We start from the raw sequence: 18,986 nt of genomic DNA on the forward strand, positions 1-18,986 counted from the left end.
GGTGACAGAGACTCCGTCTCAAAAAAAAAAAAGTAGAACTTGATAAATATGACTTCACCAAAATGGAAACGTTTTGCTCTGCAAATTAAAACCAAAATGAGATACCATCACATACCTTTGAGAATGACTAGAATTAAGCAAACCCTCAAATAAACTCTGTCAATACCAAGTGCTGGATACAAAGTAACTGGAACTCACATCCATTGCTGGTGGGAGCACAAAAATGGTGCAGCCACTTTGGGTAAGCTTAGCAGCTTCTTACAGAGCTAAACATGTGCTTATATATGACTCTGGAGTCCCACTCAGGTGTTTCTGAGAGAAATGAAAACATATATTCACACAAAAATCCTTTTTTTTTTTTTTTTTTTTTTTTTTTGAGACAGAGTCTCGCTCTTTCGCTGCGGGAATGCAGTGGCGCTATCTTGGCTGACGGCAAGCTCCGCCTCCCGGGTTCACACCATTCTCCTGCCTCGGCCTCCCGAGTAGCTGGGACTACAGGTGCCCGCCACCACGCCCGGCTAATTTTTTGTATTTTTAGTAGAGACGGGGTTTCACGTGTTAGCTAGGATGGTCTCGATCTCCTGACCTCGTGATCGGCCTGCCTCGGCCTCCCAAAGTGCTGGGATTACAGGCGTGAGCCACCGTGCCCGGCCACACAAAAATCTTACACCAATGTTTACAGCAGCTCAATTCATAATTGCCAAAAAATCAGAAATAACACAAGTGAATGGATAAACTGTGGTTCATTCATAGCATGAAAGACTCCCAGTGCTAAGAACAATGAGCTATTGATACGTGTAGTAACTAGCACGAATGTCTGAGGCCCTCTGCTGGGGTTACACTCAAGAAGTTATAGGACATTCCCGAAAAGATAAATCTATCAGTGGTAACCAGGAGTTAAATATAGGGGCTGGGTTTTATTTTCTTTTTTCTTTTTGAGACGGAGTCTCACTCTGTTGCCCAGGCTAGAGTGCAATGGCGCCATCTCGGCTCACTGCAAGCTCCAGCTCCCAGGTTCAAGCGATTCTCATGCCTCTGCCTCCCGAGTAGCTGGGGCTACAGGCATGTGCCACCACAGCAGGCTAAATTTTTGTACTTTTAGTAGAGATGGGGTTTCACCATGTTGGCCAGGCTGGTCTCAAACTCCTAACTTCAGGTGATCCACCCACCCCGGTCTCCCGAAGTGCTGGGATTACAGGTGTGAGCCACCTCGCCTGGTCAAGGGGCTGGATTTTCTACAAACGGATGGCATGAGGGAGTTTTGGGGGGGTGGCTAAACTGTTTTGTATTTTTTTTTTTTTTGAGATAGATTTTCACTCTGTCACCAAGCTGGAGTGCAGTGGCGTAATCTCGGCTCACCGCAAGCTCCGCCTCCTGGGTTCCAGCAATTCTTCTGCCTCAGCCTCCTGAGTAGCTGGGACTACAGGCGCGTGTCACCACACCTGGCTACTTTTCGTATTTTCAGTAGAGACAGGGTTTCACTGTGCTGGCCAGGATGGTGATCCCCCCACCTCGGCCTCCCAAACTGCTGGGATTACAGGTTTGAGCCACCGTGCCCGGCCAATATTTTGTATTCTAATTGTGATTACGGCCAGCCTTCTCCAAGGCTAGATGCTGGACACTCTTCTCCAATTATATAGCCATTAAATAAGTCCTTACTTGGCTTCTATAACGTGCACAACACTGGGCAGGACAGCGTGGGGAATAAGACAAACCTGGACCTTGCCAACTGTGGAGCTCCAGATGTCAGCAAGTGGCAAGGCAGGGCACGAACCCCACAGTCCTCAAACCAGATGTGCAAAAGCCATGACTCCACTGTCTCTGGCCCAAGATGTGTGCTGAAGAATCCTTGTTGAGCCACTCTGGGTGAGTCCTGTCCAATTTTATTTCTCAACTATGTGGTGTTTAGGTATCAGTCCTGTCACGGTTCTTCTCCCTGTTCTTCTTCCAGGGTGATGTCTGAGTTCTAGATTCTCAAGAGGTGACAGGGCCAGTGGGGAGGGGACCTAGATGGAAGGCACCTGCTGCAGCAGCACTGTAGGTGGCTCTCCAGTCTTGGTGTCTCCTGAAGCTGCTGGTGAGAGGTGACAACGTGCTAGCAGCCCTCGCTCTCTCGGCGCCTCCTTGGCCTGGGCGTCCACTCGGGCCGTGCTTGAGGAGCCCTTCAGCCCGCCTCTGCACTGCAGGAGCCCCTCTCTGGGCTGGCGAGGCCGGAGCCGGCTCCCTCTGCTTGCGTGGAGGTGTAGAGGGAGAAGCGCTGGCGGGAGGCGCGAACAGGGGCTGTGCGCTCTCGCGGGACAGCGCGAGTTCTGGGTGGGCGTGGGCTCGGCGAGCCCTGCACTCGGAGCGGCCAGCCAGGGCCACCAGCCCCGGGTGGTGAGGGGCTTAGCACCTGGGCCAGCAGCTGTGGAGGGTGCGTGGTCCCCCAACGCTGCTGGCCTGCCTGCAGCACACTGGAATTCTTGCCGGGCCTCAGCAGCCTCCCCATGTGGCAGGGCTCGGCACCTGCAACCTGCCACCCCCTAGCCCCTACCCCTCCCGACGTGGGCTCCCGCACAGTGAGCCTCTCCCCTACAGGTGCGCCCCCTGCTCCGCGGCGCCTGGTCCCGTCGACCACCCAAGGACTGAGAAGTGTAGGCGTGCGCCCCGGGACTGGCTGCTAGCAGCCCTGGCACAGAATCCACTAGGTAAAACCAGCTGGACTTCTGAGTCGTGTTGGGCTGGGGGGCGGGTCTTGGAAAACTTTTATGTCTAGCTAGAGGATTGTAAATGCACCAATCAGCACTCTGTGTCTAGCTCAGGGATTGTAAACGCACCAATCAGCACCCTGTCAAAACGGACCAATCAGTTCTCTGTAAAACAGACCAATCAGCTCTCTGTAAAATGGACCAATCAGCTCTCTGTAAAATGGGCCAATCAGCAGGATGTGGGTGGGGCCAGATAAGGGAATAAAAGCAGCAGGCTGCGTAAGCCAGCACTGGGGTCCTTTTCCACCTTGTGAGAAGGTTAGTTTGTTAGCTCTTTGCGATAAATGTTGTTTCTAATTTATTGGGTCCAAGTTGCCTTTATGAGGTGTGACACTAACTGTGAAGGTCTGCAGCTTCACTTCTGAAGTCAGTGAGATCACGAACCCACCAGAAGAAAGAAACTGTGGGCATGTCTGAACATCTAAAGTAACAAACTCAGGACGCACCATCTTTAAGAATTGTAACACTCACTGCGAAAGTTTGTGGCTTCATTCTTGAAGTCAGGGAGACCAAGCACCCACGAATCCGGGACACACAGAGATGCCCACACTCCTGCCACTTCCTGCTTCACTCTGTGTCTTTGGGGTTTCTTCAGCTAGCTTGCTTCTGCCTCCCTCATGGCACCCATGAGCTGTGGGTGGGAGCCCACATGTCTCTCTAGAGGCTGCACTTAGGTCCACCCTCCTTGCGTGGGCCCAGGGCTCTGCTGCCCTTTAGCCTCTGGTGCTAGACCTGGTGTTTTTAGTGGGGTCCTGGCTCCTGCGGCTCCCTGGGAAGATACCCTCTATTCTGGGTCCCTTGAGCCTTTCTGGCTCATGGCCCTGTCTCACCCTTGGGAGGTGGGAGGAGTGAGTTGAAAGCAGGGTCCTTTTTCAGAGGCTCAGACACGCTTGTCTCCGCTTTACTTGCTCCAGCTCTGGGAGGCCCCACACCTGCCCAGGGAACTGGGCTGTCACAGCATTGTGCTAACCAAGAGCTCACGCTCTCCTTTGGAATTCAGTACACCCTGTCTCTGTACCTAAAAGCTTTTCCTGTAAGAGCGATGGATGGTCCAAGCCATGGATCCCTAAGGCCTCCCAGCAAATACCAGCTCTGGTCTGTGCCTTCCTCCAGGCGTTTCTCCAGGAAGCATCTTACTCCAAGGGCCCTGAGGACAGAGAGCTTCCTGGACCAGGGGATAGGGAGCAGGACGTACAGAGAAGGAGATCCATTATTCTGCCAAAGTGGCTTTGGATGTGGGTTTGAATAACATCTTCCCTACTTCCTAGCTATGTGGTCCTGGCAGCTTTCTCCCTTCTTTCCTCTCCTCCACGCTTTCTCTTTTTTTTTTTTTTTTTTTGAGACAGACTCACACTCTGTTGCCCAGGCCGGAGTGCAGTCGCACAGTCTTGGCTTACTGCAACTTCCACCTCCCAGATTCAAGCAATGATTTTGCCTTAGCCTCCCGAGTAGCTGGGACTACAGGCGCCTGCCACCACGCCCAGTTAATTTTTTGTATTTTTAGTAGAGGTGGAGTTTTGACTGTGTTAGCCAGGATGGTCTCGATCTCCTGAACTCATGATCTGCCCGCCTCGGCCTCCCAAAGTGCTGGGATTACAGGTGTGAGCCACCGTGCACAGTCAATTTTTTTATTTTTAGTAGTGATGGAGTTTCACCGTGTTGGCCAGGCTGGTCTCAAACTCCTAATCTGGTGATCCACCCGCCTCGGCCTCCCAAAGTACTGGGATACAGGCGTGAGCCACCGTGCCCAGCTCTTCCAGGCATCTATTTCTAACCTCGTGGTGTATAACTTCCCTACCTTTCTCTCCGCATTCATGTAACCATTCACACACGCATGCAGTTCTTCTCGGTTTTGTTTTGGGATATTATGTTTACTTCTCTGCATCCTGGTTGGAAGTTCACTGTGGAATTCCTCCAAGTGTGTTTGTTCGCATTTAATCCATTCTTCCAGGCTGCCTAGTCTACCATGAAATAGCTGTCCCACAAATTACTTGGTTTATCCCTATTGAGGCAATCTCTTTTTTCCATGACTTTGCCACCTCTTGTGCTACATTAATTGATGGGTGGGGACCTGGGGGTACTGGAAGGTGCTGGTGGGAGCAGGTAGAGTCCTTGGAGATGTGGCTCTTGATGGCAGTCATGTGTCCAGCAACTTCCATGTGCCCCACTGTGTTGGTTCAATTGTGCACCTCGTTGGTCATGTAGGATGAGCCCAGACTAGGATACAGCCAAATCGCTGGGTCAGTAGCCCTGTGCACTGACCCTGTACACTGCCTTGCGTGGGTTCCTGTCTTATTTGCTTTTTTTTTTTTTTTTTTGGAGACGGAGTCTCGCTCTGTCGCCCAGGCTGGAGTGCAGTGGTGTGATCTTGGCTTGGCTAACTGCAACTTCCGCCTCCCGGGTTCAAGCAATTCTCCTGCCTCAGCCTCACGAGTAGCTGGGACTACAGGCTAATTTTTTTTTTTTTTTTTTTAATTTTAGTAGAGACTGGGTTTCACCATGTTTCCCAGGCTGGTCTCAAACTCCTGAACTCAGGCAATCCATCCGCCTCGGACTCCCAGTGTGCTAGGATTACAGGTGTGAGCCACTGTGCCCAGCCCTTATTTGCATTTTTGGGTGTGTGTGTGGTTGATGTGAGGGTAGATGCTTGGAGTGGGAGGACAGAAACGAAGGGGGTGGAGGATGCAGGGGGTGCAGGGAACCCCACTTGGGGCTGGTTTCTGGGTCCCTGTGGGGAGAGGCAGAGGTCGAGTCCCTGTCTTCAAAACACATGTTCTGGGGTAAAGTGCGTGCTTCCCAGGTTTCAGGTGCCCAGTGAAGGCACTGGAAATGGAAACGGGGTTGCAACATGGCAATGCCCCCCACTGGCAGGAGACAAGGGTGCCACACACATTATATCAAACACATGGAAGATGCTCCTGGAGACCCCTAGAAATGCAGAGAGCTGGGGAAAAAGGAAGTGGGGGCCAGGATTTGTTTCCATCCACAGGAGCCTGGCTTGCTTGCATGGACAGGGTGATGGAAGGCCAAGGGGCAGCCTATGGAATGGGCAGGAAGGCTTGAGACCAGGGCCGGCCCGAGCAGAAGCCAGACCCGCTGGAGTGGGGGCTGAGAGGTGAGCAGGGGAGCACCATGGGCAGCCTCGCCAGGGCACTGAGCCGTCTGTCTGTCCTCACTGCACACCTTTCAGGGCTCACAGCCCAGGTGGGCTGCCCTAGTTGGCCTTGCCTGGGGCTTGCTCCTCTGGGCCGAGGGAGGCCTGGGCACCAGCATGGAAAGTGCCACTAAGACTGAGCATGGGGCATGGCGAGCCCCCAGATGAGTGGGGTGCCGTGACCTGAAGCAGGAGGCATTGGCACTTGGGCACCAGCCCTCACGATTATCCCCCCTTTACAGATGGGGAAACTGAGGCACGAATGGGGGTGCCGCTTGCTTGAGGTTGCTGTCTCAGTTGGGATCCCCAGAAACAGACTCTGAAACGAGGACGTATGTGCAGGTAGTTAACAGGGTGCTCAAAGTAGGTTATTTGGGTGCAGGTTCCCAGGAAACACTGTGGGGTGTGGGGAAGGGAGGCAGGGAAGGGAGGGGAGGCCATGAGAATGTGTCGAGGAGCAGTTACCCTGGAGCAACCGAGGCTCTGTCCCCTGGGGTCTTCTAGAGAATCGGAGGCTCAAGCCTCAAGGGGTCCCTCTGAGTGGAAGAAGATGGGGTATTTCCTCACTCACTTCTACCCAGGGGAATCAATTCCCCCGCACCCCAGGCCCAGCCTGCCCTGAAGAGAGACGGGGAGAGTCGTGTGACCTTAGGGCAGGCCTCGGCTCTGGGCAGGGCATCCGCCGCAGTGTCCACACAGCTTCACAGCTAGGGAGGCAGGCCAGGGGCTCGAGTGAGGGCATTTGACCTTTTCCCAAGATCGCATCCTCCTCGCTCTCTCATCAAGGGTTTTGGACAGAGCCCTTCTCCAGGAAAGGCTGCAGGAGGCGGCTCGCTGGCATGTTGCTGGCAGGGTTTCAGTTTGCACTGCTTCTCCGCAGGGCAGTTTGGCTGTGAGGAACAGAATGCCCACCCTACATGCCAAACAGCAGCAGTGAGCGGAACAGGATTTCAGTATCAGGGCTGCTTAGCTGCCCGGCGATGTGCTGAGGGCCTGGGCTCTCTATTCTCCTTTGCTTTTCAGCTTTATCTGGTTAGTTGGCCTTGCCCTGGCCTTCCAGAGCCCAGGGTCTAGAGCACAAGGCAGCAGGAAGGAGGCTCTTGGGAGCTTCTCCATCTTTTGAGGGAAGAAAGTTTTCCCCAGGCTTTACCCCCAGCAAAGGCCCCTTCCATCCGCTTGGCCAGGTCTGAGTGTTCTGACCAACATGATGGTGCTGGGTTAAGGACGGTAGCACCTCCTCTCCCTCCAGCTGCGACCTCGAGGGGCTTTGGAGCTGGGGGAGTGACCACAGACCAGGCCTGGATGACCAAGACTGCTGGGTCAGCCAATGGTCCAGCAGCACCAGCCCAGGGCAGCCAACGGTCCAGCAGCACCAGCCCAGGGCAGCCAACGGTCCAGCAGCACCAGCCCAGGGCAGCCTCAGGCTCAGGACTTTAGGGCTCCACACAGCAGGGTTGGAGCCTCAGCACACAGCTAGCTGGAGTCTGACCCCCAAGGTCCCAGCTTGTCCCCACCCCCATCAGTCAAAGGAAAACCAGAGAGGCCGGGCCCGGCGGCTCACACCTGTAATCCCAGCACTTTGGGAGACCAAGATGGGAAGATCACTTGAACCCAGGAGTTCAAGACCAGCCTGGGCAACATGGCAAGATCCCATTTCTAAACAACAAAAAATTAAAATAAAATAAAGGCAGGCCAGGGAGAGACTGCCCAGGACGGTGGCCGCAGCTGCTGTGCATAAGGGCCCGCTGTGGGCCTGGCGTGGTGCTGGGAGTACCCATGTGTCTCCTCCTGTATTCTTCAGTCCTTGACCTGGCTCCCAGGGGCCTGTCTGTGCTGCCTTCCTTCTGTGCCTGGAAGTGTCCCTGAGCCTTGGCAGCTTCCACGTAGCCTCAGAACCACTTTCCATTTGTATTGTTAGATTAGTTTTAAATATCCAAGTAATCCATGAATTCACTTTTCTTATATATATGTACAATTAACTGCCCCCATTCCCCGCCCAAATCCTAGGTCCCAGGTAACAGCGGTTTCAGCTTTTGCTCCTTCTCCTTGCAGGCCTTTCCTGTGTTTACACCCACCTGCAGCGTGGATAAAGAGTTTCTGGCCGGGCGAGGTGGCTCACGTCTGTAATCCCAGCACTTTGGGAGGCTGAGGCGGGCGGATCACGAGGTCAGGAGATTGAGACCATCCTGGTTAACACGGTGAAACCCCGTCTCTACTAAAAATACAAAAAATTAGCCGGGCGTGGTGGCGGGTGCCTGTAGTCCCTGTTACTCAGGAGGCTGAGGCAGGAGAATGGTGTGAACCCGGGAGGCGGAGCTTGCAGTGAGCCCAGATTGCGCCACTGCATTCCAGCCTGGGCAACAGAGCAAGACTCTGTCTCAAAAAAAAAAAAAAAAGAAAAAAAGAAAAGAGTTTCTATTGGCTGGGCATGGTGGCTCATGCCTGTAATCCCAGCACTTTGGGAGGCCAAGGTGGGCAGTTCACCTGAGGTCAGGAGTTCCAGACCAGCCTGGCCAACATGGTGAAACCCTGTCTCTACTAAAAATACAAAAATTAGCTGGGTGTGGTGGCACACACCTGTAATCCCAGCTACTCGGGAGGCTGAGGCAGGAGAATCACTTGAACCCGGGAGGCAGAGGTTGCAGTGAGCCAGGATCACGCCACTGTACTCCAGCCTGGGTGACAAGAGTGAGACTCCGTCTTAAGAAAAAAAAAAAAGAGTTTCTATGAGTGTGTCACAAAGCGCACAACGTGTCCACATGGTTCTGCCCCTTTGACTTTTTCACTGTCCGCCTGTCTTGCTGAGTGAAACCTCCACCAGTGTGTGGCCCCTGCTGTTCTTTTGATGGCTGTGTGTTCCCCAGTGTGGAGACGGCTGGTGCTGTCTTTCTCCCGCTGATGATGTGGAGGTTCTGGGTAAGATTCTGCAGCTCCCTTCTGCTGTAGACTGAATGTTTGTCCCCAGCCCCGTCAATTCATATATTGAGGCATAAGCCCCAAAGTGATGGTATTAGGAGGGCCTTTGTGAGGTTATTAGGTCACAGGATGAAGCCCTCATGAATGGAACTATTGCCCATATAAAAGGGGGCCCTTGCCCCTTCTGCCATGAGAAGACACAGCTAGAGAACCAGAAAGCAGGCCCTTGCCAGACACCAAAGCTGCTGGTGCCGTGACCTTGGACTTCCCAGCCTCCAGAACTCTGAGAAATCAATTTCTGTTGTTGTTAAGCTCTCCAGTCTGTGACATTCTGCAGTAGAAGCCTGAATGGACTAAGACGCCTTCCTAGGAGTTAGATGATTCCTCCTCCATTATTCTGGGCTGTCTCGAAGCCCCACGGCTGCTCACCCTCTACACAGCCTGGTCATCTCCTGCACTGCCTGGCCCCAGCCCCATCTCCATGCCAGTGTTCCCCACAGCTCCATCTCCAGGTGAGCCTCCGCTGGCCTCCCCCGGCCACCTCTGCTGGACAGCCCACAGGCTCCCGGACTGCTTCGGTGTTGCACGGGGACTGTGAAGAGCTGGGACCGTGGCGAAGAAACATCTGCTGAGCCAAGGACACTGTTGGTCATGCTTGTGTCTTCATAGCAGAAAGTTCTAAAGGCAGTGTTAGGTGGGCCTGTGTACACACAGACCCCGTCTGGGTCGGCACTGCCTGAGGGCAGCCAGCACTGAGGCGGGTCGTGACCCCGTCGGTGCCTGTGCAGAAAGGAGGCTCGCTGCAGAAGGGAAGAAACCTGTGCTAACCCTGCCCCGCCTCCTGCTGGCTCTGTGCCCTGGGGCCTGTCAGTACCGGATCCCAGCCTTGCTTTCCTCACTGGTAAATTAGGGATCTAACGCACAGTCTGCCACGAGGATGGGATTGATGAGATGAGGCAGCCCGAGTTACTGGCTGTGATTTCTGTCGTGATCCTACCCATTTTCTTCTTCGCCCTGCTGTTCTGAAGATTAAATATAACAGTCGAGTGTGGTGGCTCATGCCTGTAATCTCAGCACTTTGGGAGGCTGAGGCGGGCAGATCACCTGAGGTCAGGAGTTCAAGACCAGCCTGGTCAACATGGTGAAACCCCGTCTCTATAAAAAAATACAAAACTTAGCTGGGTGTGGTGGCGCATGCCTGTAATCCCAGCTATTCAGGAGACTGAGGCAAGAGAATCACTTGAACCCAGGAGGGGAAGTTTGCAGTGAGCCGAGATCATGCCATTGCACTCCAGCCTGGGCAACAGCAAGACTCTGTCTAAAATAAATAGATAAAATAAATAAATTAAATAGATCAATAAAACAGTACAACACAGCGTCAGGCACTGTGCCAGCACATTAGAAGGTGCTCCATGAACGCCAGCTTCCTTCCTCTTTCCAGATTTATTTTCAACTGGAAAGCTTCAATGAATGAGTGAATGAGGGAATCACTGCTCCCCTCAGCAGTGAGCTGAGGAGTAGATCCTTGCTGACCGCTGAGCCACAGGCACTGATCAACACCTAGAATGTCGATGGGGACAGTTACCTTGGAGGGGCTGTTGACTGTATCCCCAAGACAGGAGCAGCCAGATGCCCTGTGCCTCCAAAAGGAATGTGTGAGGATGCTCCCAGCCCCACCCCTGAGACTTCCTGCCAAAAAAGTTGAGCCTGAATCCTGCGCATTCGCTTTACGACTGACTTCCAGTTTCAAGGAGGAAGGGGATGGAGGGTCGCATTAAACAACACCTCAAGGCAGCCCAGATCGGGAGGGAGGGTCCCTCTGCAGGACAGAAACCAGCTCGTGCCGCAAGCCAACCGCGAGAAGGGAAGAGGGGGCGCTCTAGGTTACAAGAGAATTAAGAAGCACAACACCCAGATACGTGTGGCCTGTGTTTGGATTCTATTTGAACAAAAGACATGAAAAGAGACTTTATTTTTCAGGCAATGGGGAAGTGTGACTGTGGACAGGGCATTAGATGACATCAAAGACTTCCTGACCACTAAGTGTCATAATAGCATTACAATCATGCAGGAAAATATCCTATGAAGGACGTGGAGATAACATGGGATATGTTTTTCAGGAAGAGCTATGACGGCAGACTAAAAATGTACGGTTATTTGGTGTAAGATATCTGTTTACCAGAGGCCTTCCTATTGGTCTATAGTGTAAGAATATTTTGACAAGCAGTTTTTATTTATAGAAACAAAAATAAAGGTCTTTGCAATCCCAAATACTCAGGAGGCTAAGGCAGGAGGTTTACCTGAGTCCAGGAGTTCAAGGCTGCAGTGAGTTATGATTGTGCCACTGCACTCCAGCCTGGGTGACAGAGTGAGACCCTGTCACACACATACAAAAAAAAGCTATTTGCAAAAATTTTGAAAAGTTAATGGTAAGAATCAATGAGGCCAGGTGAAGTGGCTCATTCATGTCTGTAACCCCAGGACTTTGAAAAACTGAGGAGGGATGATCATTTGAGGTCAGGAGTTCGAGACCACCCTGTCAACATTGTGAAACCCTGTCTCTACTAAAAATATAAAAATTAGCCAGGCATGGTGGCCGCACACCTGTAATCCCAGCTACTCGGGAGGCTGAGGCAGGAGGATTGCTTGAACCCAGGAGGTGGAGGTTGCCGTGAGCTGAGATCACGTCACTGTACTCCAGCCTGGGTGATGGAGTGAGATTCTGTCTAAAAAAAAGAAAAAAAAAAAAAAGCTCAATGGCAGTAATGGTATAGTCAAACTCATCTATTCAATCTATTCATTTATTCATAGCAAAAGCACACAAGCCTGTGGGAAAATAATTTGGCAATAAGCAGCGAGAACCATACAAATACCATGTTCTCTAGCTCAAGACTCTGATTGCTGGGAATTTACCCTGATGAAATAACCCGAAAGAAGGGGAAAACCACTCAGGGCAAGGGTGTGGCTCTGGAGTTACGTGCTTTGCCTTGACGGCACTAGAAAGCAAAGTTCCGAGGACTGTGTTGCAACTTGGAAGCCCGCGCAAGCAGCTGGAAGGGGTGCTGTGATTACAGCCGCGTGAAGGCATGCGCGCTGGGGCCTGGCCAGCGGGGTGCCTGGAGAGGTGAGTGTGGTGGCTGGATCTGGGGGAGAGGCAGGTCCGCTAGGAAGCAGGGGGCAGGGGCAGGGTGTGTTTGCAAGCTGGTACCGTGCTGCCATGGCCACAGGTACAACTTCAGTGCAAATGGATTGTGAGCTGGAGTGACCCCTGAACACCTGGTGGAAACCAGCCGGGCTTACACTGGGCAAAGCTGGGTTGTCAGGGACCCTGGTGAGACCCTGTCTTCCCCCCATTCCTCTCTGCCAGTCTTGGGGCCCTGGGCTCCCACACAGACCGGCTTTCTGCGTGGGATAGGATTATCAGACCCTTTCCTGAAATCGCGGGTGGGAAACAGGTGAGGTCATGAAGGCAGCCTGGGAGGGAGGAAGGGACAGGATGTGGAGGGGAGAGGGAACACAGCAAAGGAGGCTTACTGGTCCAGGTCCTCTGCGTACATCATCTCACTGCCTCAAAATGTTTGGGGAATGAGGCACGGTATAAACTTTCTTCACTTTTCCTTCACTACAGTCTTCTGCAGGTATTATTGTCCCCATTTTACAGACAACGAAGCTGAGGCTCCAAGGGATTGGTAACCTTACAAAGATTTACTAAGTTTTTAGGTGTAAAACTGAGATACTAACCCAGATCTGTGTCTCTGGGGCCAGGCTCTCTGGGGAAATCAGCCCAGGTCATCTCTCTCTCTCTCTCCAGTATCACCTGTGGCTTCTTAGATAGGAAACTGAGGCTGAACACTTACAGGCTTACACAAGTAACTGCACTGCCAGCCTCCTCAATTATTGACCCAGGATCTGATGTCAAGCCCCACCCTCAGGGTGCTGGGCCCTCATGTCCCATTTAAGTGTGGCCCTAAAGGCTGACAGCTTTCCTTTCCCAACAGGTACCTGGTCCATCCCTCCAGGCCCCTTAGAGAGAGGACTCAGAGAAGAGACTGAGGGAGATGGGATGTGCCAGGGTTTCCTGCTAGGAGCCTCATCTTTCTACCCCTTCTCTGTTCCCGAGAACACAGTGGTCATCCCCTCTGGAAGATGAAGTAACAGGGCACCATCTTGGAAGCAAAGAGAGCAGCCCTCGCCAGACTCCAAGTCTGCTGGAGCCTTAATCTTGGACTTCCCAACCTCTAGAGTTGTGAGAAAATAAATTTCTATTTATAATTTACCCAGTCCATGGAGTTGTGTTACAGCAGCACAAGTGGACTAAGACGCTGTCAACACTTGTTAATTTCTGTTGTTATGCCATCGTAGTGGTTGTAAACTGATATCATGTTGTGATTTTGATTTGCATTTCCCTGATGATTAGTGATGTTGAGCATCTATCTGTTCATGTGCTTGTTGGCCCTTTGTGTATCTTCTTTGAATAAATGTCTATTCAAGTTCTTTGTCCATTTTTAAGCTGGGTTGTATGTCTTCATTGTTGTTAGGTTGTAACAGTGCTTTATACGGCCAGGTGCGGTGGCTCACGCTTGTAATCCCAACACTTTGGGAGGCCCAGGCAGGCGGATCACCTGAGGTCAGGAGTTCGAGACCAGCCTGACCAACATGGAGAAACCCCATCTCTACTAAAAATACAAAAAAAATTGGCTGGGTATGCTGGCACACGCCTGTAATCCCAGCTAGTCAGGAGGCTGAGGCAGGGGAAGTGCTTGAACCCGGGAGGCGGAGGTTGTGGTGAGCCAAGATCGCACCATTGCACTCCAGCCTGGGCAACAAGAGCGAAACTCCATTTCAAAAATAATAATAATAATAATAATAATAATGCTTTATATATTCTGGATAGTAGATTTTTTATCAGATACATGATTTGCAATTTCCTTCTCCCATTCTGAGGGCTGTCTTTTCACACTTTCTCTCTCCTCTTTTTAAAAAACAGGGTCTTGTTCTTTCTTCCAGGCTAAAGTGCAATGACATAATCTTAGCTCACTACAGCCTCAGACCCCTGGGCTCAAGTGATACTCCCACTTCAGCCTCCCAAGTAGCTGGGACTATAGGTGTGCACCACCACACCTGACTAATTTATTTATTTATTTATTTTTTGAGAAGGAGTCTCGCTCTGTTGCCCAGGCTGGAGTGCAGTGGCATGATCTCAGCTCACTGCAACCTCCGCCTCCTGGGTTCAAGCGATTCTCGTGCCTCGGCTTCCTGAGTAGCTGGGATTACAGGCATGCACCACCATGCCCGGCTAATTTTTCTATTTTTAGTAGAGATAGAGTTTCACCATGTTGGCCAGGCTGGTCTCAAGCTCCTGACCTCAAGTGATCCACCCGCCTCAGCCTCCCAAAAGTGCTGGGATTATAGGCGTGAGCCACCACACCTGGCCGACAGTGTTCTTTGATGCACAAAAGTTTTTAGTCTTGATAAAGTACAAATTTATCTATTGTTGTTGCATGTGACTTTGGTGACATCTGAGCACCCATTGCCAAATCCAGGGCATTAGGATTTGCCCCAGTGTTTTCTCTAAGAGTTTTTTGTAACTTTAACTGTTATACTTAGGGTTTCGGTCCCTTTTGAGTTGACTTTTGTTTATAGTGTGAGGAAAGGCCTCAGCTTTATTTTTTTGCATTTGGATATCTGGTTGGCCCAGCATCATTTATTGATGAGATTGTTCTCCATGAAAGGGCTTTGAATTATTATTGGTTGAAGAATAGTTTTTCTGGGTTCCCTTGCTTCAGTAGCATATATACTAGAAACTGGAATGACACAGAGAAGATTAGGATGGCCCCTGGGCAAGGATGACGTGCAAATTTGTGAAGTGTTCATTTTATTAGAAATAAAAATTAAATTACAAATTTTCTAAGGAATTATTTTTTGGATATAGAGTTCTTGGTTGACAGTTTTTTTTTTCTTTCATCATTTTAAATATGCCAACTTTCCGGCCTCCATGGTTTCTGATGAGAAATCAGCTGTTAATCTTATTGAGGATCCCTTATATGAGACAAGTTTACTTCTCTTGTGATGCTTTCAAGATTCTCTCTTTTGCTGGATAGGAGTGAAGCAAGATGGCAAAATAGGACTTTACAGTGATTGTCCCGCCACAGAAACATCAATTTGAACAACTATTCATGCTTGAAAATATCTTCACACGAGCTAAGGAAACCAGGTGAGAGAGAGCAGTATCTGGTTGTAGCATAATGAGAAAGTATATATTGGCGAGGGCAGGAGAGGCAGTTTTAAGTTACCCACATCATCCATCCCCAGCCCCAGGCAGCACTGAATTGAGAGATGCCATCCTCTGGGGAGGAAGAGAGGGAAGTAAGCATAGGACTTTTCCTTAGACCCCAGTACCAGGCCCAGCACCAGGCAAACCCCCACATCCCACATCCCATATTCCAGGCCAGTAATCATGGACTGAGCCTCTAAACCTGCCCTCAGATCACACCATATACAAAAATTAACTCAAAACGAATTAATGACTTAAATGTAAGAACCAAATTATGAAACTACTAAAAGAAAACATTTGGGAAAACTCCACGGCATTGGCCTGGGTAAGGACTTTTTGCAGATAACCCCCAAAGCATAGGCAACGAAGCAAAAATAGATAAATGGGATTACATCAAGCTGTAAAGTTTCTTTTTTCATTTTTTTGAGACAGGGTCTCACTCTGTTGCCCAGGCTGGAGTGCAGTGGTGCGATCACAGCTCACTGCAGACTTGACCTCCAGCTTCAGGTGATTTTTTAAAATTTACTTTTATTTTTGTATGTATCTAAAATATTTCAAAAGCATATAAAATGTATATTCAGACATACTATTACATTTCTTCTTCCCTCAATCTTACTATGACCATACCATGTAGCTAACCATTTAGTATGTTAAATTCTGTATTTTTTGTTCTTCCTGGGTGTCTTTTTTTTTATTATTATACTTAAGTTCTGGGATACATGTGCGTAACATGCAGGTTTGTTACATAGGTATACATGTGCCATGGTGGTTTGCTGCACCCATCAACCCATTATCTACGTTAGGTATTTCTCCTAATGCTATCCCTTCCCTTGCCCCTCACCCCCAACAGGCCCCAGTGTGTGATGTTCCCCTCCCTGTGTCCATATGTTCTCATTGTTCAAATCCCACTTATGAGTGAGAACATGCAGTGTTGGGTTTTCTGTGTTAGTTTGCTGAGAATGATGGTTTCCAGCTTCATCCATGTCCCTGCAAAGGACATTAACTCATTCTTTTTTTATGGCTGCATAGAATTCCACGGTGTATATGTGCCACATTTTCTTTATCCAGTCTATCCTTGATGGGCATTTGGGTTGGTTCCAAGTCTTTGCTATTGTGAATAGTGCCACAATAAACATAAGTGTGCATGTGTCTTTATAGCAGAATAATTTATAATCCTTTGGGTATATACCCAGTAATGGGATTGCTGGGTCAAATGGTATTTCTGGTTCTAGATTCTTGAGGAATGGCCACACTGTTTTCCACAATGGTTGAACTAATTTACACTCCCGCCAACAGTGTAAAAGCGTTCTATTTCTCCACATCCTCTCCAGCATCTCTTGTTTCCTGACTTTTTAATGATAGCCATTCTAATTGGCATGAGATGGTAGCTCATTGTGGTTTTGATTTGCATTTCTCTAATGACCAGTGATGATGAGCTTCTTTTCATGTTTGTTGGTCGCATAAATGTCTTCTTTTGAGAAGTGTCTGTTCATATCCTTTGCCCACTTTTTGATGGGGTTCTTTTTTTTTCTTGTAAATATGTTTAAGTTCTTTGTAGATTCTGAATATTAGCCCTTTGTCAGATGGATACATTGCAAAAGTTTTCTCCCATTCTGTAGGTTGCCTGTTCACTCTGATGATAGTTTCTTTTGCTGTGCAGAAGCTCTTTAGTTTAATTAGATCCCATTTGTCAATTTTGGCTTTTGTTGCCATTGCTTTTGGTGTTTTAGACATGAAGTCCTTGCCCATGCCTATGTCCTGAATGGCATTGCCTAGGTTTTCTTCTAGGGTTTTTATGGTTTTAGTTCTTACATTTAGATCTTTAATCCATCTTGAGTTAATTTTTGTATAAGGTGTAAGGAAGGGGTCCAGTTTCAGTTTTCTGCGTATGACTAGCCAGCTTTCCAAACACCATTTATTAAATAGGGAATCCTTTCCCCATTGCTTGTTTTTGTCAGGTTTGTCAAAGATCAGATGGTTGTAGATGTGTAGTGTTATTTGGGAGGCCTTTGTTCTGTTCCATTGGTCTATATCTCTGTTTTGGTACCAGAACTAAGCTGTTTTGGTTACTGTAGCCTTGTAGTACAGTTTAAAGTTAGATAGCGTGATGCCTCCAGCTTTGTTCTTTTTGCTTAGGATTGTCTTGGCTATACGGGCTCTTTTTTGGTTCCATATGAAATTTAAAGTAGTTTTTTTCTAATTCTGTGAAGAAAGTCAATGGTAGCTCAATGGGAATAGCATTGAATCTATAAATTAATTTGGGCAGTATGGCCATTTTCACGATATTGATTCTTCCTATCCATGAGCATGGAATGTTTTTCCATTTGTTTGTGTCCTCTTTTATTTCCTTAAGCAGTGGTTTGTGGTTCTCCTTGAAGAGGTCCTTCATATCCCTTGTAAGTTGTATTCCTAGATATTTTATTCTCTTCATAGTAATTGTGAATGGGCGTTCACTCATGATTTGGCTCTCTGTCTATTATTGGTGTTTAGGAATGCTTGTGATTTTTGGATATTGATTTTGTATCCTGAGACTTTGCTGAAGTTGCTTATCAGCTTAAGGAGTTTTTGGGCTGAGACGATGGAGTTTTCTGAATATACAATCATGTCATCTGCAAATAGAGATAATTTGGCTTCCTCTCTTCCTATTTGAATACCTTTTATTTCTTGCTCTTGCCTGATTGCCCTGGCCAGAACTTCCAATACTATGTTAAATAGGAGTGGTGAGAGAGGGCATCCTTGTCTTGTGCTGGTTTTCAAAGGGAATGCTTCCAGCTTTTGCCCATTCAGTATGATCTTGGCTGTGGGTTTGTCATAAATAGCTCTTATTATTTTGAGATATGTTCCATCAGTACCTAGTTTATTGAGTGTTTTTAGCATGAAGGGGTGTTGAATTTTATCGAAGGCCTTTTCTGCATCTATTAAGATAATCATGTGTTTTTTGTCATTGGTTCTGTTTATGTGATGGATTACATTTATTGATTTGCATATGTTGAACCAGCCATCCCAGGGATGAAGCAGACTTGATCATGGTTTATAAGCTTTTTGATGTGCGCTGGATTCAGTTTGCCAGTATTTTATTGAGGATTTTCGCATCAATTTTCATCAGGGATATTGGCCTGAAAATTTTGTTGTTGTTGTTGTCTCTCTGCCAGGTTTTGGTAGCAGAATGATGCTGGCCTCATAAAAAGAGTTAGGGAGGAGTCCCTCTTTTTCTATTGCTTGGAATAATTTTAGAAGGAATGGTACCACCAGCTCCTCTTTGTACCTCTGGTAGAATTCAGCTGTGAATCCGTCTGGTCCTGGGATTTTTTTGGTTGGTAGGCTATTAATTACTGCCTCAATTTCAGAACTTGTTATTGGTCTATTCAGGAATTCGACTTTTTCCTGGTTTAGTCTTGGGAGGGTGTATGTGTCCAGGAATTTATCCATTTCTTCTAGATTTTCTAGTTTATTTGCATAGAGGTGTGTGTAGTATTCTCTGACGGTAGTTTGTATTTCTGTGCGATCAGTGGTGGTGTCCCCTTTTCCATTTTTATCGAGTCTGTCTGATTCTTCTCTCTTTTCTTCTATATTAGTCAGCTCAGATGATTTTTCCACCACAGCCCCCCAAGTAACTGGGAGAACAGGTGCAGGCCGGCATGCCCGGCTGATTTTTGTTTTTTGGATTTCTTTTTGGTAAAGACAGAGTTTTGCCATGTTACCCAGGCTGGTCTTGAGCTCCTGGGCTCAAGCAAGCTGCTTACCTCAGCCTCCCAAAGTGCTGAGATTACAGGTGTGAGCCACCACACCCAGCTCTAAAAAGTTTCTGCACAGCGAAGGAAAAAACAATCAACAGAATGAAGAGACAATCTACAGAATGAGAGAAAACACTGCAAATTACACATCTAATACAAAG

The 18,986-nt window shown here is 48.8% G+C and overlaps 1 long non-coding RNA gene and 1 pseudogene across 1 annotated transcript, besides 1 other annotated feature; both read left to right on the forward strand.

Annotated features, from left to right (window-relative positions):
- Positions 11,474 to 12,673: an enhancer, noted in NCBI's record as "P300/CBP strongly-dependent group 1 enhancer chr5:179868388-179869587 (GRCh37/hg19 assembly coordinates)". NCBI's record gives its function as "activates an origin of replication core promoter dependent on BRD2, BRD4, P300/CBP, MED14 and CDK7 cofactors, with strong dependence on P300/CBP, by STARR-seq in HCT116 cells {active_cell/tissue: HCT116}" and the evidence as "EXISTENCE:reporter gene assay evidence [ECO:0000049][PMID:35650434]".
- LOC124901152 (uncharacterized) lies at positions 11,845 to 13,326 on the forward strand. The gene is made up of 2 exons (XR_007059086.1): positions 11,845 to 11,941; positions 12,816 to 13,326. It is a non-coding gene; the product is annotated as an uncharacterized LOC124901152 (long non-coding RNA).
- RNU6-525P (RNA, U6 small nuclear 525, pseudogene) lies at positions 14,595 to 14,698 on the forward strand (annotated as a pseudogene).

The sequence above is a fragment of the Homo sapiens genome, chromosome 5, assembly GCF_000001405.40.
Source record: "Homo sapiens chromosome 5, GRCh38.p14 Primary Assembly".
NCBI lineage: Eukaryota > Metazoa > Chordata > Mammalia > Primates > Hominidae > Homo > Homo sapiens.